This window comes from Homo sapiens, chromosome 9 (assembly GCF_000001405.40).
Source record: "Homo sapiens chromosome 9, GRCh38.p14 Primary Assembly".
Lineage (NCBI taxonomy): Eukaryota > Metazoa > Chordata > Mammalia > Primates > Hominidae > Homo > Homo sapiens.
In genome coordinates, this window is record NC_000009.12 from 125,777,614 (window position 1) to 125,803,123 (window position 25,510).

Sequence of the window (25,510 nt, forward strand, 5' to 3'; positions counted from 1 at the left end):
TCGGCCTCCCAAAGTGCTGGGATTACAGGCGTGAGCCACCACGCCCAGCCTAATTATTCTTTAAATACTTAGTAGAATTCATCAGAAAAGCCATTTGGTCCTGGGCTTTTTTGGAAGATTTTTTGATTACTTTACTCTCTTTCTTTGTTATAGATCTGTTCAGATTTCTGTTTCTTCTGGAATCTCTTAAGGTAATTTGTGTGTTTCAAGGAATTTGCTCATTTCTTCCAAGTTATCTAATTTGTTGGTATATAATTATTTGTATAATTCTCTCATAATCCATTTTATTTCTGTAAGGTTGGTGGGAACGTCTCCACTTTCATTTCTGATTTTTGTTTTCAAATCTTCTCTTTTTTTTTTTTTTTGAGATGGAGTGTCACTTCGTTGCCCAGGCTGGAGTGCAGTGGTGTGATCTTGGTTCACTGCAACCTCCTCCTCCCAGGTTAAAGCGATTCTCCTGCCTCAGCCTCCCAAGTAGCTGGGACTACAGGTTTGTACCACCACACCTGGCTAATTTTTGTATTTTTTAGTAGAGATGGGGTATCACCATGTTGGCCATGCTGGTCTCAAACTCCAGACCTCAGGTAATCCACTTACCTTGGCCTCCCCAAGTGCTTGGATTACAGGTGTGAGCCACCGTGCCTGGCCCTCTTTTTTTTTTTTGAGACGGAGTCTCACTCTGTCGTTCAGGCTGGAGTGCAGTGGCATGATCTTGGCTCACTGCAACCTCCGTCTCCTGGGTTCAAGCAATTCTCTGCCTCAGCCTCCCGAATAGCTGGGATTACAGGCGCCTGCCACCATACCTGATTAATTTTTTGTATTTTTAGTAGAGACAGAGTTTCACCATCTTGACCAGACTGGTCTTGAACTCCTGACCTCGTGATCCACCCACCTCAGCCTCCCAAAATGCTGGGATTACAGGCGTGAGCCACTGCGCCCGGCCTTTTTTTTCCTTCGTGTAGCTAAAGTTTATCAATTTTGTTGATCTTTTCTTTTTTTTTTTTTTCATATTTTCTATTTCTTTAATAAATTGTCCTAAAGTTTTAACACCTGTGCTAGAAAGGCATGCTCCTTGTGTAGACACAGCCCGTGTCTCCCCCTGCTCTTTGCCCGGTACTGGGCATGCTAGGCTTTGCTGTTTGGAGTACTAGCCTCACCCTGTTTGTATGGCCATAAATTAATTATTACTTTTCTTTGAATTGTCAAGGCTTTATTGGATCTACCTACAGATTTACCAACTTTGCTCACCATTGCTTCTTTAAAAAATGGTTCTTTTTGTAGCAAAAGATATACATCACAAAAATGCCATTTTAACCATTTTAAGTGTATAATTCACATTAATTACATTCACGATGTTGTGCAACCATCACTGATATCTACTTCCAAAACTGGAACTCTTGTGCACTGCAAACTTTTTCACCATCCCAAACAGATAATCTGAACCCATTAAGCAATAACCTCCCATCCCCCACCCCTAGCCCTTGGTAACCTCTAATCTGCTTTGTCTCTATAAATTTGCCTAGTTTAGATCTGGAATCCTACAATATTTGTCCTTTTGTGTCTGGCTTATTCTACTCAGCATAATGTTTTCAAGGTTCATCTCTGTTGTCATGTGTGTCAGAACTTTGTTCCTTTTTTTTTTTTTTTTAATTTTTATTTTTTTTATTGATCATTCTTGGGTGTTTCTCGCAGAGGGGGATTTGGCAGGGTCATAGGACAATAGTGGAGGGAAGGTTGGCAGATAAACAAGTGAACAAAGGTCTCTGGTTTTCCTAGGCAGAGGACCCTGCGGCCTTCCGCAGTGTTTGTGTCCCTGGGTACTTGAGATTAGGGAGTGGTGATGATTCTTAACGAGCATGCTGCCTTTCAAGCATCTGTTTAACAAAGCACATCTTGCACCGCCCTTAATCCATTTAACCCTGAGTGGACACAGCACATGTTTCAGAGAGCACAGGGTTGGGGGTAAGGTCACAGATCAACAGGATCCCAAGGCAGAAGAATTTATCTTAGTACAGAACAAAATGAAAAGTCTCCCATGTCTACTTCTTTCTACACAGACACAGCAACCATCCGATTTCTCAATCTTTTCCCCACCTTTTCCCCCTTTCTATTCCACAAAACCGCCATTGTCATCCCGGCCCGTTCTCAATGAGCTGTTGGGTACACCTCCCAGACGAGGTGGTGGCTGGGCAGAGGGGCTCCTCACTTCCTAGTAGGGGTGGCCGGGCAGAGGCGCCCCTCACCTCCCGGACGGGGCGGCTGGCCGGGCGGGGGGCTGACCCCCCCACCTCCCTCCCGGACGGGGCGTCTGGCCGGGCGGGGGGCTGACCCCCCACCTCCCTCCCGGACGGGGCGGCTGGCCGGGCAGAGGGGCTCCTCACTTCCCAGTAGGGGCAGCCGGGCAGAGGCGCCCCTCACCTCCCGGACGGGGCGGCTGGCCGGGCAGGGGGCTGACCCCCCCACCTCCCTCCCGGACGGGGCGGCTGGCTGGGCAGAGGGGCTCCTCACTTCCCAGTAGGGGCGGCCGGGCAGAGGCGCCCCTCACCTCCCGGACGGGGCGGCTGGCCGGGCGAGGTGCTGATCCCCCCACCTCCCTCCCGGACGGGTCGGCTGGCCGGGCGGGGGGCTGAGCCCCCCACCTCCCTCCCGGATGGGGTGGCTGGCCCGGCAGAGGGGCTCCTCACTTCCCAGTAGGGGCGGCTGGGCAGAGGCGCCCCTCACCTCCCGGACGGGGCGGCTGGCTGGGCGGGGAGCTGACCCCACCTCCCTCCCAGACGGGGCGGCTGGCCGGGCGGGGGGCTGACCCCCCCCCCACCTCCCTCCCAGACGGGGCGGCTGGCCGGGCGGGGGGCTGACCCCCCCCACCTCCCTCCCGGACGGGGCGTCTGGCCGGGTGGGGGGCTAACTCCCCCACCTCCCTCCTGGACGGGGTGGCTGGCGAGGCAGAGGGGCTCCTCACTTCCCAGTAGGGGAGGCTGGGCAGAGGCGCCCCTCACCTCCCGGACGGGGCGGCTGGCCGGGCGGGGGGCTGACCCCCCCACCTCCCTCCCGGATGGGGCGGCTGGCCGGGCGGGGGGCTGACCACCCCCACCTCCCTCCCGGACGGGGGGCTGACCCCCCCCACCTCCCTCCCGGACAGGGCGGCTGGCCGGGCGGGGGGCTGACCCCCCCACCTCCCTCCCGGACGGGGCGGCTGCCGGGCGGAGACGCTCCTCACTTCCCAGACGGGGTGGCTGCCGGGCAGAGGGACTCCTCACTTCTCAGACGGGGCGGATGCTGGGCGGAGGGTCTCCTCACTTCTCAGAGGGGGCAGCTGGGCAGAGACGCTCCTCACCTCCCAGACGGGGTTGCGGCCGGGCAGAGGCGCTCCTCACTTCCTAGATGGGATGGCGGCCGGGCAGAGACGCTCCTCACTTTCCAGACTGGGCAGCCAGGCAGAGGGGCTCCTCACGTCCCAGACGATGGGCAGCCAGGCAGAGACGCTCCTCACTTCCCAGACGGGGTGGTGGCTGGGCAGAGGCTGCAATCTCGGCACTTTTGGAGGCCAAGGCAGGCGGCTGGGAGATGGAGGTTGTAGCGAGCTGAGATCACACCACTGCACTCCAGCCTGGGCACCATTGAGCACTGAGTGAACCAGACTCCGTCTGTAATCCCGGCACCTCGGGAGGCCAAGGCTGGCGGATCACTCGCTGTTAGGAGCTGGAGACCAGCCCGGCCAACACAGCGAAACCCCGTCTCCACCAAAAAAGTACGAAAACCAGTCAGGCGTGGTGGCGCGCGCCTGCAATCGCAGGCACTCGGCCGGCTGAGGCAGGAGAATCAGGCAGGGAGGTTGCAGTGAGCTGAGATGGCAGCAGTACAGTCCAGCTTCGGCTAGGCATCAGAGGGAGACCATGGAAAGAGAGGGAGAGGGTGACCGAGAGGGAGAGGGGAGAGGGGAGAGGGGAGAGGCGAGAGGGGAGAGGGGAGAGGCGAGAGGCGAGAGGGAGAGGCAGAGGCAGAGGCAGAACCTGATCTTTTCAAAGAAACAAATTTTGGTCTTATTGATTCTTTCTATTGTTTTTCTGTTCTGTGTTTTGTTGTTTCCACTCCAACTTTTATTATTTACTTTCTTCTGCTAGATTTGGGCTTAATGTTTTCTTCTTTTTCTAGTTCTTTAAGGTATAAAGTTAGGTTATTGATTTGAGATCTTTTTTTTTTCTTAACGTAGGCATTTATGGCTATAAATTTACTTCTGAGCATTGCTTTTGCTATATAAGTTTTGGTATGTTGTATTTTCCTAAGTATGTCCTATACCTTTTTGTTCCTCATTCCCTCCATTACCTTCTTTTGTGTTTGCGTTTTTAATTGTATATCATTTGATCCCCTTCTAATTTCCTTTTGTGTATAATTTTTGGATATTTTCTTGGTGATTATTATGGGGATTACAATTAATATCCTAAGTTTATAACAATCTGGTGTATTAGTTCATTTTCATGCTCCTGCTAAAGACATACCCAAGAGTGAGCAATTTACAAAATAAAGAGGTTTAATGGACTTACTGTTCCACATGGCTGGGGAGGCCTCATAATCATGGTGGAAGGTGAAGGGGACGTCTCACATGGCAGCAAATAAGAGCTTGTGCAGGGAAACTCCTCTTTTTCAAACCATCAGATCTTGTGAGACTTGTTAACTATCATGAGACCAGCATGGGGAATGACCTGCCCCCCATGATTCAATTACGTCCCACCCCTCCCCTCCCACAACATGTGGGAATTCAAGATGAGATTTGGGTAGGGACACAGCCAAACCATATCATCTGGTTTTGCCCACCTAGTTTCAATAGCACATAAAAACTCTACTCCTTTACAACTCCATTTTTCTCTTTTATATTATTGTTACAAATTACATTTTTATACGTGTGTGCTCATTAAAATAGCCATAATTGTTTTATGCATTTGCCTTTTATTTATATAGGAAACAATAAGGAGCTACATACCAAACATATGTTAATATTGGCTTTTATATTTACCTATGTGGTTATCTTCACTGGAGTTCTTTATTTCTTCATAGTTTCGACTTACTGTTTAGTGTCCTTTTATTTCAGCCCGAAGGACCCTTTTTAGCATTTCTTGTAGCGTAGGTAGGTCTACTAACAGTGAAATTTCTTGGCTTTGGGGTGACTTTTAATGCTTTACTTTTTTCATTTTTGACGGACAATTTTACCAGATAGAGAATTCTTAGTAGGCAGGTTTTTTTTTCTTTCAGCACTTTAAATATGTTGTCCCATTGCTTTTTCACCTTCATAGTTTCTGATAAGAATTTCCCTGTTAATCCTTTTGAAGATTCCTTCTATGTAATGAGCTTGCTTCTCTTGCTGTTTTCAAGATTCTGTTTCTTTCAACAGTTTGATTATAATGTGTCTCAATGTGAATCTCTGTGTGTATCTTTCTTAGAGCTTATTGAACCTTTTGGATGTATAATTTAATGTCTTTTATCAAATTTTGGAAGCTTTCAAAGCCAATATTTTGTCAAATATTATTTCCGTCCCTTTCTGTCTCTCCTTTCTTTTTGGGACTCCCATTATTATATGTTGGTGTGCATGATGTCCCAACATGTGTGATGGTATGCGTGATGTCTCGTTATTATACATTGAGATGCATGATATTCTCTTAGGCTCTTTTCATTTTCCTTCTATTCTTTTTCTTTTTTTGAGGGGAGTTTTACTCATGTTGCCCAGGCTGGACTGCAGTGGCACGATCTCAGCTCACTGCAACCTCTGCCTCCTGGGTTCAAGTGATTCTCCTGCCTCCGCCTCCTGAGTAGCTGGGACTACAGGTGTACGCCACCATGCTTGGCTAATTTTTGTATTTTTAGTAGAGATGGGGTTTCACCACGTTGGCCAGGCTGGTTTCGAACTCCTGACCTCAAGTAATATGCCTGCCTCAGCCCCCAAAGTTCTGGGATTACAGGCATCAGCCACCACGTGGGCCTGATCCCTTTTTGCAGTTTTAATCTCTTTGCTAATACTCTGTTTTTGTTAAAACATCATTCTCCTGGTTTCTTTTAACTCCTTGTTCATGGTTTCCTTTAGCTCTTCAAGCATATTCACAACTTATTTTGGGCCGGGAGCAGCAGCTTCATGCCTGTAATCCCAGCACTTTGAGAGGCTGAGGCGGGCAGATCACCTGAAGTCAGGAGTTCGAGACCAGGCTGGCCAACATGATAAAACCCCTTCTCTAATAAAAATACAAGAAAATTAGCTGGGCATGGTGGCGCACGCCTATAATCCCAGCTACTCTGGACGCTGAGGTGGGAGGATCACTTGAACCCAGGAGGCAGAGGTTGCAGTGAGCCGAGGTCATGCCACCGCACTGCAGCCTGAGTGACAGATGGAGACTTTGTTTCAAAAGAAAAAAACAAACAAAAACCCTTACTTTGTCTAGCAAGTCCAATATCTGTGCTTCCTCAGGGAGTTTCTGTTAATGTCTTCTGTGGATGGGCCATAGTTTTTGTTTCTTGATGGGTTTCATGGTTTTATTTTATTTTATTTTTTGAGACGAAGTCTCTCTTTCTCCCAGGCTGGAGTACAGTGGTGCGATCTTGGCTCACTGCAACCTCTGCCTCCCTGGTTCAAGTGATTCTTGTGCTTCAGCCTCCCGAGTAGCTGGGATTACAGGCGTATGGCACCAACTCTGGCTAATTTTTGTATTTTTAGTACAGACGGGGTTTCGCCATGTTGGCCAGGCTGGTCTTGAACTCCTGACCTCAGGTGATCCGTCTGCCTCAGCCTCTTAAAGTGCTGGGATTAGAGCTGTGAGCCACCGCACCCAGCCAGGTTTTGTGATTTTGTTGTTGTTGTGGTTAAGAATTGGATATTTTAATGTGGTGGTAACTCTGGAAATCAGATTCTTCTCATTCCTCAGAGTTTATTTTTGTTGCTTGCAGTGGACTATGGCTGTTTGTGTTTGGACTTGCAAAAATTATTTTTGTAAAGTTGATGTTTGTCATGTGTGGTTTCTGAAGTCTCTGTTCCATTAGCTTGTGTTCAGCTAGTATTTTGATAGGGATTTCCTTGAATGCCAAGAGCCTAAATAAATAATTAAAATAAAGGAGGAAAAACAAAAAGAAGAAAGGAAAAAAGGGAAAGAAAAAACCCCTTTCTCAGCCTTTGTGGATTGTCTCTGTTTGGGGACATTCCTTCATCACTTGGTAAGGTCATTTACGACTGTGCCTTAGTTTTTACTTTCTGTTTGTATTGAGCCTAGAGGTCAGCCACAGTATTCTTGGGTCTTTGCTGAGCATGTGTCCTGCCCTGAGCATACCCATGACTTTCTGAATTTCATAGTATATATGATGCTTTTAAATGTCCTAATTTCTCTAAGAAACATTCTCCCTTCGCTAGCCTTTTCTTTTAGGCTTTTGTTACTTTACTGTTTGCCTCACCTAAAGTCTTTTGCCCCAGGTGGCTGCACATCTTTTCTTTTACTTATAATGTTTTGGAAGAATATCCCCTGTTTTTCTGCCCTGAGTGAGATCTGAATTAGGTGAAACAGACAAGCGCCTTGTGTCAGTTCTTGGGATGGTTAATATTAGTTGTCAACTTGATTGGGTTGAAGGATGCCTAGATAGCTGGTAGAGTATTGTTTCTGGGTGTGTCTGTGAGGGTGTTGCCAGAGGAGGTTAACATTTGAGTCAGTGGCCTGGGAGAGGAAGATTTACCCTCAGCGTGGGTGGGCACCATTCAATCAGCTGCCAGTGCAGCTAGAACAAAGCAGGAAGAAGGTGGGGTAACCTGGCTTGCTAAATCTTCTGGCTTTCATCTTTCTCCCATGCTGGATGCTTCCTGTCCTTGGACATCAGACTCCAGGTTCTTCGGCCTTTGGACTCTTGGACTTACATCAGTGGTTTCCCAGGGGCTTCTGGGCCTTTGGTCACAGACTGAAGGCTGCACTGTCGTCTTCCCTACTTTTGAGGCTTTTTGACTTGGACTAAGCCACTACTGGCTTCCTTCCTCCTCAGCTTGCAGACGGCCTATTGTGAGACTTCACCTCGTGATCATGTGAGTCAATTCTCCCTAATAAATTCTCTTTCATTTATACATATATCCTGTTAGTTCTGTCCCTCTGGAGAACACTGACTAATACAATTTTTAAGGCTGGCCCCAGAAACAAACATAGTTCTTGAGAATAAGATCTCTTCTGCTTTCTTCAGAACCAGGGACCAGTATCCCACAGTGGAAATTCAGGCGGCTGACTTTGAGCCTGCCACTAAACCAGGTTGGGAGATGATACAAGGGAAAGTAAAAATGTCACAAGACTCTCATTTTAAAGGTGACTGTTTAAAGTCGCTTTTTTTTTTTTTAAGTTCAGTGTTTACATGGTTGCTGTAAACCTTTGACTATTTTCTAGCATACTGAAAAATTTGATTCTGATCGTTTTCTCTTGATTTTTTGATGTTACTGTGGAAGAACTGGCCCTTGGTCTACCTACTCCATTTCCTGCTGATATCACTCCCAAAAGGGGGAAATTAGTTTGAATATGTTGAGTTTGAGGTACTATGAGAAGGCCCAGTGAATATATCTCACAGGTAATTAGGTATAAGAGCTTGAATCTTTCTTTCTAAGAGAGGAGATTTGAGCTACACATATGAACTGAGATGTCACCTGCTTATCATGGAAAATGCAAGGGTGTTTAAGATCATCAGGGAGAGTTCCAGGGCATACCACCATAGATGAGTTCACAGTAGAGGCAGAAAACCAATGGGCACAAAGTACAAGGAAAACCAGGAGCCTGTGGTACAGTGAAAGGTGTTCTTATCATAAGTTATTTTAGTAGAATGGTGACATTTGAATGAAAAGAAAAAGGGAATTAGATAGCGATTAGGAGGTGATATAAGGTGAAAGACTTCTTTTTACTCTTTTATATGGACAGGAGATTTGAGCATTAGGTTTGGAGTTGTGGGAGGACCTGTGGAGAGAATAGAGTAGAACAGGGATGAATGATGGAGCAGAGTCTTAGAGGAGAACAGAGGAATAGAGTTAAGAGCACAAATAGAGTTGGCTTTCAGTAGATGTCGGGACATTTCGATTTTTAAGACTGGAGATAAAGTGAGAGATAGGTAAGTATGTAGAGATTTTTTTTTTTTTTTGAGATGGAGTTTCGCTCTGTCACCCAGACTGGAGTGCGATGGCCCAATCTCAGCTCACTGCAACCTCTGCCTCCTGGGTTCAAGTGATTCTCTCACCTCAGCCTCCTGAGTAGCTGAGATTACAGGTGCACACCACCACACCCAGCTAATTTTTGTATTTTTAGTAGAGTCGGGGTTTCACCATGTTGGCCAGGCTGGTCTCGAACTCCTGACCTCAGGTCATCTGCCCACCTCGGCCTCGCAAAGTGCTGGGATTACAGGCATGAGCCACTGTGTCTAGCCTATTTTTAGTTTTTATTTATTTTTTATTTTTTCGAGACAGGGTCTTGCTCTGTCACCCAGGCTGGAGTGCAGTAGCATGATCATGGCTCACTGCAGCCTCAACCTCCTTAGCTCAAGTGATCCTCCCAACTCAACCTCTTCAGTAGCTTGGACTGCAGGTGTACACCACCACACCTGGCTAATTTATTTATTTACTTGTAGAAATGGGGTCTCGCTGTGTTGCCTAGGCTGATGTAGAGAAGTTTATAAGTGGGAATTGGAAAGCTGAGGGAAAGTGTACTGCATGGATTAACTTTTTTTTTTTGATGAGCAGGAAAGATAATCTCTTCAGTAAGTTGGGCTGTGATGAAGTAGAGTTTGAAGGGAGTGATGAAGTCCTGGAATAGTTACTCCAGATAATGAAAGAGTGAGCTGGCCAAGGATAAGAAAAGTATTGTCAGATTGAAGACTCAGCTGAGGTTGGAGACTGAAATTGAAATGGCACTATCATGACCACTTGTCATTTCTCTAGCAGGTTAACATCGACTACAACTTGAGTATATGCTTGGGGCTTGCTTGGCAAATGAGAGAAAAGGATAGGGTGAAATGGATTATAGGGGTCTGTTGCAAGAATAGTTAAGATGTTCAACCATATAATCCATTTTGCATAGATGGGAAAGGTAAAGGAGTGGCTGATAGATGAGAAAATGGAGGGATTTTAGGATTGTTTGGTTTAATTAAATTGAGGAATAAATAGGTGGAGTGCAAGAAAGGGAAGGTGACTGGCGGAGTAAAAGACTGTTATCATAGGATGAGACATTTGAATTTTATTTCAGAAATGAAGCACTTCTAGGTGATGGATGATAAAGTTCAGGATGTGGCCCTGGGAGCTTGTGTGTCAAAGTGAAATGGAGCTAAAGGTCATTGGTGATTTATTTATTTTTTAAGGAGGTCAGAGAACTGTAAGGCTAGGTTGTTGGTTGAATATCTTATATGCTCCCTGAAGCCAGACTCATGGAATTACTTGGGATAGAGAAGGAGACTGAATCTTGTGCCAACATTTTAAATGAATGTGACAATTATTAATATTAGTTAATAACCAACAGTGGATGCTACCTTGCCAAGTTAATTTTTCTTAGATAATTAGTTGTTTAATGTGGAGATCATGCTATGGTCAGTTTATTTAGAAAAGCAGAATATTAAGTTAGGAAAATGAAACCCATATAAGCACTGTTCATACCATAAATTTATTATGTGAATATTTACTAAATTCTTATTCTGGGACTTGAAGTTGCTTGCAGCCAAGGGGAAGAGACAAATTTCTAAACAGATAATTGATATAGTGTGCTCAATGTTACAGTAAAGCAGTGGTGTCGTGGGAAGGACATATCCCAAAACCCATTGGGATGGGCAAGAAAATATCAGAACTTCTACTTACATTTATCTATTCATTGTCTGTACTTTCGTTATAATTTGTTAATACAAAAGATTTCAGACAATATAAAAGCATAGATAAAATACAAAAACACTAATGTTCCTGGCATTTAAGAAATAAAATATTACAGATGTAACTGAAAGCTTGCTGTGGGCCGGGCATGGTGGCTTACGTCTGTAATCCTAGCACTTTGGGAGGCCGAGCTGGGCAGATTGCCTGAGCTCAGGAGTTCAAGACCAGCCTGGGTAACACAGTGAAACCCCGTCTCTACTAAAAAACACAAAAAATTAGCTGGTTGCGGCAGCATGCGCTTGTACTCCCAGCTACTTGGGAGGCTGTGGCAGGAGAATGGCTTGAACCTGGGAGGTGGAAGTTACAGTGAGCCCAGATTGCGCCACTGCACCCCAGCCTGGGCGACAGAGCGAGACTCCATCTCAAAAAAAAAAAAGGAAAGCTTGCTGTGTAGCCTTCCCTAATCCCATTTCCCTTCCTTTTTCTCTTTCCTCCCCACACTGAATTTATTATTCACCATTCTTATTAGTGTTTACTAATATTGCATGTTTTTGAACCTTTAAGATTGTTTCATACTGTTGTTATCTTTCTATGATTTGCTTTCACTCAACACTTATTTTAAGATTTTCAACATTGACACATTTAGTTCAAGTTAATTCATTTTTCCTGCTGTATCGTATTCTATTGTGATTATTCTGTAATTTCCTTCTTAATTCTTGTGATGATAGATATTGAAATTGCTCCAATTTTTCCTATTATAAAATTTCAGTTGTCAATTGCTGCATAAGGAATAGCCCTAAAATTTAGTGACTGAAAACAGCAAACATTTATCATCTCATGGTTTCTGTGGGTTAGATAGCTAGACATAGTTTAGCAGGGTGCCACTGTGTTTAGTTTCTCACAAGATTTCAGTCAGGTGACAGTGGGCTGCAGTTATCTTGAGAGTCACTTGGGGGAGGGTTTGCCTCTCTGCTCACTCACATGACTATTGACAGTACTCAGTCCTCACTGACTGATGGCCAGAGACATCAGTTCTTCCCTACTTGGGCCCCCCATTTTAGGGCAGCTTACAGCATGGCAGCTGGCTTCCCTCAGAGTGAGTGAGTGAGTGAGACAGGGAACCCAATTTGGAAGTCACAGTGTTTTTGTAACCTAATCTTGGAATCCCATTACTTCTGCCATATTCTGTTTGGTAGGGTGAAGTCATTAAGATCAGTCCATGCTCAAGGGGAGGCTACTACATAGGGTGTGAATAGTAGGCAGTGGGACCATTGGAGCCTTCTTAGAGGCTGCCTACCACTCTGGGTGAAAGGGTATACATCATCCATTTTATTATTTAATAGATATTATGAAATATTCCTATTGTGGCTATTCTAATGTATACTTTCCTAAAAAGTAAGAATTTAAGCTTTACTAGTGTTTAAAATAGGAATCAATATTGGTGGTTTGTGTGTTAGAAGCTTACTTAGAGCATTCAGGATTGAGAAGAAATAGTGGGAGTTCCAGGTTTGTTTTGATAGATTACCACTTTCTGTTCCTGGTTGGGAGTATTTGTATTTTGTAGATGTAACTAAACTGATGCTCATCAAATGGACAAGTTATCTGAAGACATCTGCAAAGAAATACGTGGATTAAAATAAGAGGAATAATGTAAGTGTATAATAAGAAAGTGGGAGAAATGATACTTCTACTCTTGATATAAGCTCTTAGTCAACTGTGTATGAGGGAAAGATAATTTTGATCTCTAATATCTGACAGAAAGCCATCCAAAGCATTAAAATTGCAGAGACTATTTCTTTCTTTCTTTCTTTTTTTTTTTTTTGAGACAGTCTTGCTCTGTCACCCAGGCTGGAGTGTGGTAGCGCGATCTCAGCTCACTGCAACCTCTACCTCCCGGGTTCAAGTGATTCTCGTGCTTCAGCCTCCCTAGCAGCTGGGACTACAGGCATGCACCACCACGCCTGGCTAATTTTTTGTATTTTTAGTAGAGATGGGGTTTCGCCATGTTGTCCAGGCTGGTCTTGAACTCCCGAGCTCAGGCAATCTGCTCGCCTCAGCCTCTCAAAGTGCTGGGATTACAGGTATGAGCCACCGTGCCTGGCCAACTATTTCTTTATAATTTAATTTAATTTTTTTAAAACAGAGTCCTGTTCTGTCACCCAGGCTGGAGTGCAGTGGCACAATAATAGGTTATTGCAGCCTCAAATTCCTGAATTCCAGTGATTCTTTTGCTTCAGCCTCCCCAGTGGCTGGGACTGCAGTTGTGCACCATCATGCCTGGCTAATTTTTATTTTTTGTAGAGATGGGGTCTTACTATGTTGCCCGGACTGGTCTTGAACTTCTGGCCTGGAGTGATCCTCTCAAAGTGTTGGGATTATAGGTGTGAGCCACCGTTCCCTGCTGAATTCAATTGTAGTCTTTATAATTATTACCACCATTGTTAACAATGAACCTTACCCTAATATTTTTTTTTTTTTTTTGAGACAGAGTCTTGCTCTGTTGCCCAGGCTGGAATATAGTGGTGCAACCTTGGCTCACTGCAACTTCTGCCTCCTGGGTTCAAGCAGTTCTCCCTGCCTCAGCCTCCCGAGTAGCTGGGATTACAGGTGCCTGCCACTACGCCTGGCTAATTTTTGTATTTTTTAGTAGAGACGGGGATTTGCCATTTTGGCCAGGCTAGTCTTGAACTCCTGACTTCAGGTGATCCACCCGCCTTGGCCTCCCAAAGTGCTGGGATTACAGGCATGAGACACCATGCCTGGCCACCCTAATTGTATATTAATAGTGCCTTAAGATGTTAGCTAATAATTGTAGTACACATACATTTTTATCTGTCTGTCTGTCTGTCTGTCTATCTATCTATCTATCTATCTATCTATCTATCTATCTATCTATCTCTGTCAATCATCTGTCATCTATCTATCTGTCTAGCTAGGATTTGTATCCCCACTTGAATCTTGTGTCAAATTGTGATCCCCAATGTTGGAGGAGGGGCTTGGTGGCAGGTGATTGCATCATGGGGGGAGATTTCCCTCTTGCTGTTCTTATGGTAGTGAGTGAGTTCTCACGAGATCTGGTTATTTAAAAGTATGTAGCACCTCCCCCTGCCCTCTCTTCCTCCTGTGCTCTCTCTTCCTCCTGTTCTGGTCATGTAAGATGTGCCTGCTTCCCCTTTGCCTTCTGCCATGATTTAAGTTTCCTAGGCCGGGCGCGGTGGCTCACGCCTGTAATCCCAGCACTTTGGGAGGCCAAGGCGGGAGGATCACAAGGTCAGGAGTTCGAGACTATCCTGGCTAACACGGTGAAACCCCGTCTCTACTGAAAATAGAAAAAAATTAGCCGGGCGTGGTGGCAGGCGCCTGTAGTCCCAGCTACTCGGGAGGCTGAGGTAGGAGAATGGCGTGAACCCGGGAGGCAGAGGTTGCAGACTCCGTCTCAAAAAAAAAAAAAAGTTTCCTTAAGCCTCTCCAGCCGTGCTTCCCATACAGCCTGTGGAACTGTGAGTCAGTTAAACCTCTTTGTTTTTATAAATTATCCAGTCTTAGGTAGTTCCTTATAGCAGTGAGAGAATGGATTAATACTACACACACACACGCACGCACGCACGCACGCACGCACGCACGCATATAAATAAATAAATATTGGAGAGTACATGATCAAATCTGTAGACTCTTATACTAGAATCCTAGATGTAGGAAAAGAATACTGTGGGAGTAAAGAGGAGGGAGCAACTAACTGCCTAAAGGAAGTCAGGAAAGGCTGCACAGAGGAGGTAGATTTTGAGCTGGGTCACAAAGGACAGAAAAAAGACCTTTTTGGTAGAGGAAACAGCATTTTCAAAGGAACAGATCCTTCAGGGTATGGCTCTTTGAAGATTGGTAATAACTTTTGTAGGTGCTTAGTGTCAGAAATATTAGGGGAGGTGAAGGAAAATGAGAATGGAGATGTAGGAGGTAGCCAGAAGGTAGGCTCTGTAGAGCTAGTGGAGATCAATTAAATAGGAAATTGACATGATCCACTAGAACTAAGGAGTCCCTTAGTTCCCTGATTGGAAACTGGCTAGTTTGGCCCATAGTGGTATCCTTTAGGTCAAGACTTCCAGAGCCAGCCTTAGCTTATAGCTCCCAGTGATAGGGAGCAGTGGTTTCCCATTGAGAATTTCAGGGCATTGTTTTAGTTTTTCATAAACAAAAAATTGGATGTGGATAAATTTTATTATTATTTAAATAGCTTTATTGAGGTATACTTAATTTTTTTTTTTTTTTGAGTTGGAGTCTCACTCTGTTGCCCAAGCTGGAGTGCAGTGGCACAATCTCTGCTCACTGCAACCTCCGCCTCCTGGGTTCAAGCAATTCTCCTGCCTCAGCCTCCCGAGTAGCTGGGACTACAGGCGTGTGCCACCACGCCCGGCTAATTTTTGTATTTTTTAGTAGAGACCAGGTTTCACCATATTGGACAGGCTGGTCTTGAACTCCTGACCTTGTGATCCACCTGCTTTGGCCTCCAAAAGTGCTGGGATTATAAGCGTGAGCCACCGCGCCCGGCCGAGGTATACTTAATTTATGATAAATTGTGCTTATTTAAAATGTACAATTTGATAAGTTTTAAAAAAATATATTGGCCAGGTACGGTGGCTCATGCCTGTAATCCCAGCACTTTGGGAGGCCGAGGTGGGCGGATCATGAGGTCAGGAGATCGAGACCATCCTGGCTAACACGGTGGAACCCTGTCTCTACTAAAAATACAAAAAATTAGCCAGGCGTGGTGGTGGGCGCCTGTAGTCCCAGCTACTCGGGATGCTGAGGCGGGAGAATGGCGTGAACCTGGGAGGCAGAGCTTGCAGTGAGGCAAGATTGCGCCACCGCACTCCAGCCTGGGTGACAGAGTGAGACTCCATTTGGGGGGGAAAAAAAAAATATATATATATATATATATATATATTTACTATTAAGTGGAAGTGGATCATCATAAAGGCTTTTTTCCTTTTTTTTTGGTTGACATGGAGTCTGACTCTGTCTGCCAGGTTGGAGTGCAGTGGCACGATCTCAGCTCACTGCATCCTTCGCCTCCTGGGTTCAAGCAATTCTCCTGCATCAGCCTCCCTAGTAGCTGGGATTACAGGTGCTGGCCACCACACGCAGCTAATTTTCATACTTTTAGTAGAGACGGGGTTTCACCATTTTGGCCAGACTGGTCTTGAATTCCTGACCTCAGGTAATCCGCCTGCCTCGTCCTCCCAAAGTGCTGGGATTACAGGCACGAGCCACTGTGCCCTGTCAAAGTTGATAAGTTTTGACATAGGTAAATACCATCATTGCAGTTGGGATAATGAACATATCCATCAGGCCTAAAGTTTCTTTGTACCCTTTGGGTAAATTTTAAAAATGTAATACGTTATATTAAATATATATAAAATAAAGCTATTATTGTAGGGAATTTAGTGAGCGATTGTATTTTAAAAACCTTTCCATTATGAAGATTTAAAAACATACAGAGAGAGTAATGTTATAAACTTCTGTGTACCCAATCACGCAACTTAAATTTGTGTGATAACATTTTTAATCTTATAATGTTTACAATTTTTGTTTTCTTACAAATATGATGTTTTCTTACAAAAGCCTGATAAACTGAATTCTTAATTTTACAAATGAGGAAATTAAAATGTGGATAAATTGAATCGCTTGAAAAAATGTTTAAGTTATGGAAATGCGGGAGTTGATGAGGAGGAAAAAACATATTTTCTGCTTCTGTGTTTACTGGACCCTTGCTACTCAAAAGTGTTCTCTGTGGACTGGCAGCATGGCCATCACCTGGGAGCTTATTAAAACTGAAGATACTCACACCCCACCTCAGAACTACTGAATCAGAAATTGTATTTTAACAAGATTCCCAGGTAATCATATACACATTACAGTTTGAGAAGCTCAGTGTTAAGGCAAATTGCCTCTTTGGGCAACAATGAAATTTTATAATTAAAAATCTTTCTTGAAGTGAGGTTGGTGAATGGGAAAAAAATTGGAAACCTGACTTTAGTTACTGCTCAGTTTCTATTATTGAATGATGCCCTATATGGTACCATGAGAAGTTAATTGGTTAGCTTTCCTATGTCACCATTTTCAATTTATTAAAAAAAAAAGATTCTGAGAACAAAATAACAAAACAATACCCTAAACAATTATAATTACTCATGTATGCCTTTTGTCAGGATTATGTTTGGTCTATGAAGGGAAAGTAGGAGACTCATGGCTGTTTTTTTTTTTTTTTAACAGTCCCATAAGTTAATAAAACAAATAAAAACTCAGAGTCCTCCTCCCACCCACCCACCTCAATTCCAAAGATAACAAGGTTGGGCAACCAGAGGCAGAATTAAGCACTGTTCAGTGTGTACACCAAGAGAAGACTTCATGTTGTGTTCAATCTAGCTGGCTAGGCAACCCTTCCATTAGCCTGTTCCTAATGTTTGCACTGAATGAGCCATTACGTTTTGAAAGCAACTCAAACTGAATTCAGTATTGATGCATTCACTTACCAACTTTTCTGCCTCCGGCAGACCAGCCTTTTACTAATGGTGGTGTACAAATAGCCACTGGCTTCATCCTCACTCTCAATGAAGCCTTGTAATACTACTTCTGTTGCCATATCCCTTACATGTACAGGCTCCATTATAATTCTGTTCTTTGCGTCCATGCTCCAGAAGCATTTTCTAGATGATTGTTATTCATTAATGGAAACCCTTTTGGTAGGGTCCCAGGTAAAAACCTGTGCAGGATTGAAGTGTATTCTGAGGTGCATTGTCTTATAGTAAGATATTAGCATCTTAACAAAGAGGAAGTATCCGTGCTGTTCTTCTGATTTGTAATGTTTTCACATATAGCACCTAGCTGGTATATCTTTTTACCTTTCCAGGGAAATTATTTGGTGGCTGAGAAAACATTTGATTCAGAATTTAGGAAAAGAGGTTCTACCAATTCTTTTTACTGATATTATATTCTTTGTGATGAAAGCATATGCTCTAGAGTTAACCATTAAATAACTTTAATGGTTCCAGTTTTACTAAGTCTTTGGGTTCTCAGGGTCTGGTATGTACTCAGTTCAACAATCATATACAACATGTAAACTGTAATGATTCCAATGATGCCTTATTGCATCTAAAGAAACCCATAAATCAGATTCCACTATTAATATATATTAGCAGAGGGCTTTACCCAGAGGCACTGTTTTGTTTCCTTGGTATTGACACTGTAAGACCATGGGCCATTAACACCAATACAATTTCTATTTTAATGCTAATGGAAATGGAAGATTTAAAAATAAAATTTTAAAAATTTAAAATAAACCTTTAATACACGAGGTCCCACAGCAATTAGAAAATGATTTCTTTAAGTGGTGTCCTTTTTAAGAGTTGCATTGGAACTTATGATATGAAAGATATAAAAACATGGTAGTTGTACATATATTGAGAAGTTGCTCAAAATTTATATTGTCACTATTTTGAGCCATTTTTGGTGTAAGAGACTAAGAGTCCTCTTGCATATTTTGGAGTGTATTTAGTTCATTTGAGTCTTGACTCTTAGGTGTAAAGTCTAGCTTATCCTTTTGCAGTATTCTGCATGTCTATTTTCTTTATTTGCGGTTATACAATTAGTAATGTGCAGTGAAAATATGGTTAGTGTGGGAATAGCTCAGATTAAAATTAGAAACTGGACTTGGCATGTATTCAGTTCACTGCCCAGGGTTAAAGTCCAGCGCCACAGAAAGTGGATCTTCACCTTTCTCTCCTGGTGTTTTAGCTTTACTGATGATTTGAAACCATAGCAGTTAATATGCTTTAGCCTTTGCTTTTACAGATGAGAAATGGATCTTATACTTATATCACCAGGTTTCAAAACTATTTACACTAAGTGGGATGGTTTACTACCTCAGGGGTAGTGCATTAAGCCTATTGCTCTTGAGAATCCATTTTCTCCACCAATTGATGGGACAGATATGACAAGCCTTTAAAGTTGAGTGGAAATTTTCTGTGGGGCGGGCTGTTGTATTAAATTGTTCCTTACCACTATCATGGATGTTGTAAAGACTTGTGAGTGGGTAGCCTATGGCGAGGAAAAGAGATATATTGTCTGCAGTAGGGAGGCTGTAAGGTCTAATATATAGGGAATAATTCTCTTCCTATCTGCTATTTCCCTCTCCTTCTTTAAATCATAGGTTGAGCCCATCCACTCCAAGGAGATTTTCTTGATTAAACATCACTGAAAAGCATTAGTCAAGTTTCTTAATTGTATGTAATGCTGTGGGAGGTCTTTTTAAAAGCAGTTGTATAGAGTCACTTTATATAATATATAAAAATATATAATACACCGTAAGGACTATAGTTAATGAGAGTGTCATATTAACTGTAGTCCTTATGGACGTACACACACACACATATTTCCTAATTTGCACCAATGCCCTCTTATATTTAGATTTATCATATTTAAAAATTTAGATTTAGAATGTTAATGTTGGTTGTTGTTTGCAAGGCCTGAGATTACCTAATTCGTATGGTAACCACCCCCCAATAATTCTTGGTTGAAACACCCAGTTGCCATTATGCTAATGAACGTTTATTTGTCTTATTTTTATTCATTTTAAAAAATCAACAGAATTATAATACTATAGTGACTAAGAAGAATGTTATGAGACATTAATATGTTATATCAAAAGCAGAAATATATTTTAAAAAATGTTTTGAAATGAAATAATCCATAACATAAAGAGCCTAGATTCTATTTTTAGGACATATTTAGAATGAAAAGTATTTGAAATAAGGAAGAAGTTTTCAGTAAAATTTAAATTACTAATCAGTAATGAAGTTTCCTTTATCTGCTGGAATTAGTTACATGCTCTAAATCATACTGTATTCTGGCTCAATTTTTCACTCATTGAACTTACTTTACTTTTCAGAATGTCCTCATTTAAACTTTTTTTTAACAACTCATGGATTTGGTCTCTGAGTTACTTTACCTCTACTCAAGGTGAGTTATTTAATTCTCAGAAAATCAAATCAACACACTTAACCATGTTTGTGAAGATCAGAAGTTCTTTTCATATAAGATAAATTTTATTGTGTGTGTTTAAGGTATACAGTGTGATGTTATGAGATACATATAGTACACAGTAAAATGGTTACTGTAGTGAAACAAATTAACATGTACATCATTTCATATAGTTACCCATTTTCTCCCCTGTGGCAAGAGCAGCTATAATGATTTATTTTGCAAAAATTCTGAATACAGTACACTATTATTAACTATAGTCCTTATATTGTACATTAGGTATTTAGACTTGTTCATTCTACATATCTGGGGTCAGGAAATCTTAAGGAAAATTTAATATGCTTTCTCCTCCAAGTATGTAAGAGACCAGAAGCAAAACATTAACAGTAACAATAGCAAGAAAGTTTGTGAAATCAAAAATAATCCTTGAGAATGCACATCCAGGCATGAAGCAGTTTTTATTTATCATAGACTGTGAGAGAAATAGCAACCGGTTTCATTTTTGTTGGTCCTGCTGCTGTTTCACAGATTTCAATGTGGCTTTTTACAATGCATTTCTGGGGAACAAAGTTCAGTATACTCTAAATGCAAACATACGTTTCTGTATATAAAGCAAGTATTTTAATACATTATTATTACTTGAGCTAATAACAAATAGTCATCTGTCAATGAGCTAAAAAGGTACAAAGTTCACAGTAATTCTCAGATAGCTTAGTAATTACCCAGACAGCTTGTTGTTAGAAAAGCTGTTCAAATCTAGGATTATGAAATATACTGATGGCTATTTTACTCTCATGGAGTTTCAAAAGATTGTTGGTACATTTGTCTATAATTACACACAAGTTCTCAGTCATTATTAATGAAATTTATATTCTAAGCCACAATTGTTACTACTTATACATTTTACTGGCTTTTTCTTGCATCTCCCACCCACCAGCCCCTTGATGTTGATTGTTAAACCCCTACTAAGGATCCTTTTCTTCTCTTCCTCTTATCCCCACCTCCCATTTCTTAAAAAAAGAAAATAATTTTTAGAATAGTATGGTGATTGTTTACATTTGTTTTTCAACAAATGATTACTGAATAAAGGCATTTATTTGAGTTCTGGAAACTTCTAGAGGGAAGAAGTGGGTGATAGAGGTAATTAACTCTACAAAAAATAGAACCTTTAATGTATTTTCTTAATTTTCTAATTATTGTTTCATTATATCATGCCCTTATGTCTTCCTGGTAACACATATATATGAACTTACCATAGCAGCTGTGGTAGGTAATGGACTCTTAAAAGTTATGTTTGGATATAACTAAGCAAATGTATATTTGTTCCCTTCTAATGAAATTACTTTTAACTGCCATCTTACAAAACAAACAAAAAACAGTCCCCAGTTTGTTTAACTACATTATTTAATATACATTGTTAAATAATATATACATATATAAGACTTTAATATTAATTTTAAAAAATAGCTATTAGAATGAATTTTACTCTTAAGGTTTTATTTGCATTCTTAAAAATATGTAATTGGGTATATATACATTTAGCTTTTAAATTTCCTGATGTTTTTGGGGTTGTCTGTTGTTTAGTAATCATAAAACTTTATTACATCTCCATTCTGATATTAAATCACCATTCATCCTGAAGTTAAATGTTTCAGTTATTTTTTTGTTCTTTTCACATTAAGGGAATGTGTTTTATGTTGTGATGCAGTATGGAGATGACCAGAAGTAACAATAATTAAAGAAGCAGGCCGGTTCAGTGGTTCAGGCTTGTAATCCTAGCACTTTGGGGGCCAAGGTGGGCGGATCATGTGAGTCTAGGAGTTTGAGACCAGCCTGGGCAACATGGCGAAACTCCGTCTCTACAAAATGTTATCTGGGTGTGGTGGCGTGCACGCTGTAGTCCCAGCTACTCCGGAGGCTGAGGTGGGACGATTTCTTGAGCCCAGGGGGTCAAGGCTGTAGTGAGCCATGGTTGTGCCACTGCACTCCGGCCTGGGTAACAGAGCAAGACCCTGTCTCAAAACAAACAGACAAAACAAACCTCTTATTTTAGGAAGGGTTTGTTGACTACTTAAGTGTGAACATTTTTTCTTCTCTAAAATATTGCATTATAGTACAATATAAATATAAAATAAGCATTATAGTGTAGACAACATTTTCTTTTCCTGGGCATGGATGTAATTACATGAAGACATGTAGAGCAGATTCAGCATTAGCAGATAATTCTCTATTTTGAAAGGCATATAAGATCCAGTTTAAAGAATAAGATAAAAATGTCATGAGCTAGAATTTAGTGGTAATTTTCTATGTGTTTATAATATCTTTGATCCACAGAACTGAGTTTTCACATCCTTCTAAATCAGGGAAACTGTACTCTTTAAATTCAATTCTGTCTAATTTTTGGCACTTTATTTTCCAGGATATATATATATTCAGTGTATTTTTCTTGATTTCCTCTTGGGAGGTGAAGCCTCACAAATCAAGGGACTGCATTGTTTCAGCAATGCTTATTATTGTAATTATTAATTCAATTATTTTTATGACAGTAATAATAATTGTAGTAATAAATGCTACAAGATATTTGATGTTAAAGCAGTTATAATAAATAGACCATCAGATCTTAACAATTTGATGTTTGGTTTTTGCTTCAACTATGGACTCAGTGGTGCTTACTGATCTGATAGAGAGATGTTCCACTTCAAAGAAACATCACAGATGTCTACTGAAAAGATAAGTAAGGGTGTGATGTCAACAAAAGAGGTTGTATATATCAATAATGAGCAAAAGCCAAATTAAGCCAGTCACAGATTCCTGTCTCAAATTGCTCATGGAATGAAATAGGGTATAAATAATTATTTAGAGTACCTCAGTGGTATATATTCTACTAAGAAACTCTTGGGAGTTCTTACACTGTAATGTTGGTTCAGAAAACAGTACTTTATTAATCTTATAACCCTAAATTCTATGCTTAGCAGTAAATTATTGTGCCAATAAAGAGTTTTTCTATTATTATACCTATTTAGTACCTTACTACATGGAAAACTCTGCTATTCCTCAACATAAACGAGCATTATCCCAACACCTCAGTGAAACAAACTGGTTGGAATGGCTGCTGCTAGTGGAGAGAATTTCTCTATCCAGGAGAAGTTTTTTTTTTATAGCTTCATGGGATATTTACTAACTAAACATTTTAATGTATAAGTTGTATTCTTTCTTTTACTTAAAGGTTTTAGGAGGAACACTAATCTGAGCGCTTGGAATTAATTTTTTTTTTTTTTTTTTTTGAGACAGAGTTTCCTTCTTGTGGCCCGAGCTGGAGTGCAATGGCATGACCTCGGCTCACTGAAACCTCTACCTCCAGGTTCAAGCGATTCTCCTACCTCAGTGTCTCCAGTAACTGGGATTACAGGCGCCTGCCACCATGCCTGGCTAATTTTTGTATTTTTAGTAGAGACGGGATTTCACCATGTTGGCCAGGCTGATCTCGAACTCCTGACGTCAGGTGATCCTCCCTCCTTGGCCCCCCAGTGTTGGGATTACAGGCATGAGCCACCGTGCTTGGCCTGGAATTAATTTTTATTTGAAGTTATTCTGTATCTCCAGTGTTGGCATATGCTAGACATTCAATGAATATTTGTTGATTTAACTCTGTAGCTCCTTCTATTATGAACTAAATAAGATGCATTTGTATATATTAACATTAGATTAATATGAACAATGAAATACCTTGCATATCCTTTTGATTTTGAAGTACTTCTCTGTTTTCATCCTGCCAAATTTTCTGCCGGGCTTCAGGCTGCCGAATTAGGCTGCCTTGTCTTCAGCAAAATTCCATTGGTGTATCTGTCTATATAAGACACAGCACTGTTTATTCTGGCAGATAAACGTGTCATTCTTATATTTTTCTTGCCTACAACTCTGGCTCCTTTTATTTTATGGAGCTTTGGGAATGACTGAGTAAAATTATTTCCTTCAAAAATTAGCATATGATTTCCAAGTATTTTGATATATTTGTTACCATAAATTTTTCCATTATTAACCAAAGACCATAAAATTACAAACACCTTTTCACATAAGAAAATGCTGTTCCTGATAAAGATTTTTTGCAGAAATTTCTCTCCCTTCTCTCATAATAAAATTAGTGATGTATGTTATCGTGTGATATGTTTTTTCACATTCCATCTTTTTGTATTTGAAACTGGTAAATTCTCCAGCATTTCCCGTCATAGCTTGCATGTGTTCTTCACCTAGTTTTGTAAAAAGGTTTTTTCCTCTTAAATGTTTATATGAACATGTATACACATACACACACACACACACACACACACACACACACACATATTCTTAACTTTCTGAATCATTTATAAGTTGCAGACTTGGTATGGTTAAAACTAAAAACTCCAGTGTATATTTCATTTTTTTGAGGTTAAGAAAATTTATTTTCGGCTAGGTGTGGTGGCTCATGCTTGTAATCCCAGCACTTTGGGAGGCTGAGGCAGGAGGATCACTTGAGCCTGGGTGAGTCCTGATTGTGCCACTGCACCCAGCCTAGGTAACAAAAATGAAATCCTATCTCAACAACAACAATAACAGCAAAACTTATTTTTATTCCTAATTTTATAATAATTTTGCATTTCAACTTTTATTTTAGATTCAGAGGGTACACGTGCAGGTTTGTGACACAGGTATATTGCGTGATGCTGAGGTTTGGGGTTGATCTTGTCACCCAGGTAGTGAACACAGTACCCACTAGGTAGTTTTTCAGCCCCTGTCCCCACCCACCCCTCTCTAGTAGTCCCTAGTGTCTGTTGTTCCCATCTTTATGTTCATGTGTATATAATGTTTAGCTTCTACTTGTGAGAACATTAGTGCATTTTTTTTTTTTTTTTTTTTTTTTTAAAGACAGGGTCTCATTCCGTTGCCCAGTGTGGAGTTCAGTAGCATGGTCATGGCTCACTGCAGCCTCCACCTCCCCAGGCTCAGGTAATTCTCCCACCTCAGCCTCCCAAGTAGCTGAGACTACAAGCACACACCACCAGGCCTAGCTAATTTTCGTATTTTTTGTAGAGACAGGGTTTCACTATGTTGTCCAGGCTGGTCTCAAACTCCTGGGTTCAAGCCATCCGCCTGCTCAGGCCTCCCAAAGTGTTGGGATTATAGGCATTAGCAATTGTGCCTGGCCAATACATTTTTTTTTTGTTTGTTTTTTTGAGACAGAGTCTCTCTCCGTTGCCCAGGCTGGGGTGCAGTGGTGCGATCTCGGCTCAGTGCAACCTCCGCCTCCCGGGTTCAAGCAATTCTCCTGCTTCAGCCTCCCGAGTAGCTGGGATTACAGGTGCATGCCACCACACCCGGGTAATTTTTGTACTTTTAGTAGAGACAAGGTTTCCCCATATCGGTCAAACTGGTCTCGAACTCCTGACCTCAGGTGATCTGCCCGCCTCGGCCTCCCAAAGTGCTGGGATTACAGGCGTGAGCCACCGTGCCTGGCTGCATATTTTTTAGAAGATACAATGATACTCTGTTTTATAACCATAACACAATTATTAAAATCAGGAATTTATTATCTATAGACCTTATTTCAGTGATTTTTCCCACTAATGTCTTTTTTTTTTTTTTTTTTTTGAGTCAGAGTCT

General features: G+C 41.6%; 1 protein-coding gene across 11 annotated transcripts in view, besides 2 other annotated features; it reads left to right on the forward strand.

The window, feature by feature from the left end:
- The window catches only part of PBX3 (PBX homeobox 3), a 220,005-nt gene that overhangs the window by 30,241 nt on the left and 164,254 nt on the right, over positions 1–25,510 (forward strand). Inside the window, exon 1 of one of the 11 annotated variants that reach the window (XM_047423442.1) lies at positions 19,782–19,852. The exons of the other annotated variants lie outside the window; for them this stretch is intronic. Within the exon in view, the coding sequence (XP_047279398.1) occupies positions 19,783–19,852 (70 nt within the window). The 5' untranslated portion in view covers position 19,782. Of the gene's footprint in view, positions 1–19,781; positions 19,853–25,510 lie in introns of those variants that run through there. 11 annotated transcript variants of the gene reach the window in all.
- Positions 300–800: an enhancer, noted in NCBI's record as "H3K4me1 hESC enhancer chr9:128540192-128540692 (GRCh37/hg19 assembly coordinates)". NCBI's record gives its function as "activates a minimal SCP1, AML or CMV promoter by ChIP-STARR-seq in naive H9 embryonic stem cells {active_cell/tissue: H9 hESC(naive)}" and the evidence as "EXISTENCE:reporter gene assay evidence [ECO:0000049][PMID:30033119]".
- Positions 1,577–2,264: an enhancer, noted in NCBI's record as "NANOG-H3K27ac hESC enhancer chr9:128541469-128542156 (GRCh37/hg19 assembly coordinates)". NCBI's record gives its function as "activates a minimal SCP1, AML or CMV promoter by ChIP-STARR-seq in naive H9 embryonic stem cells {active_cell/tissue: H9 hESC(naive)}" and the evidence as "EXISTENCE:reporter gene assay evidence [ECO:0000049][PMID:30033119]".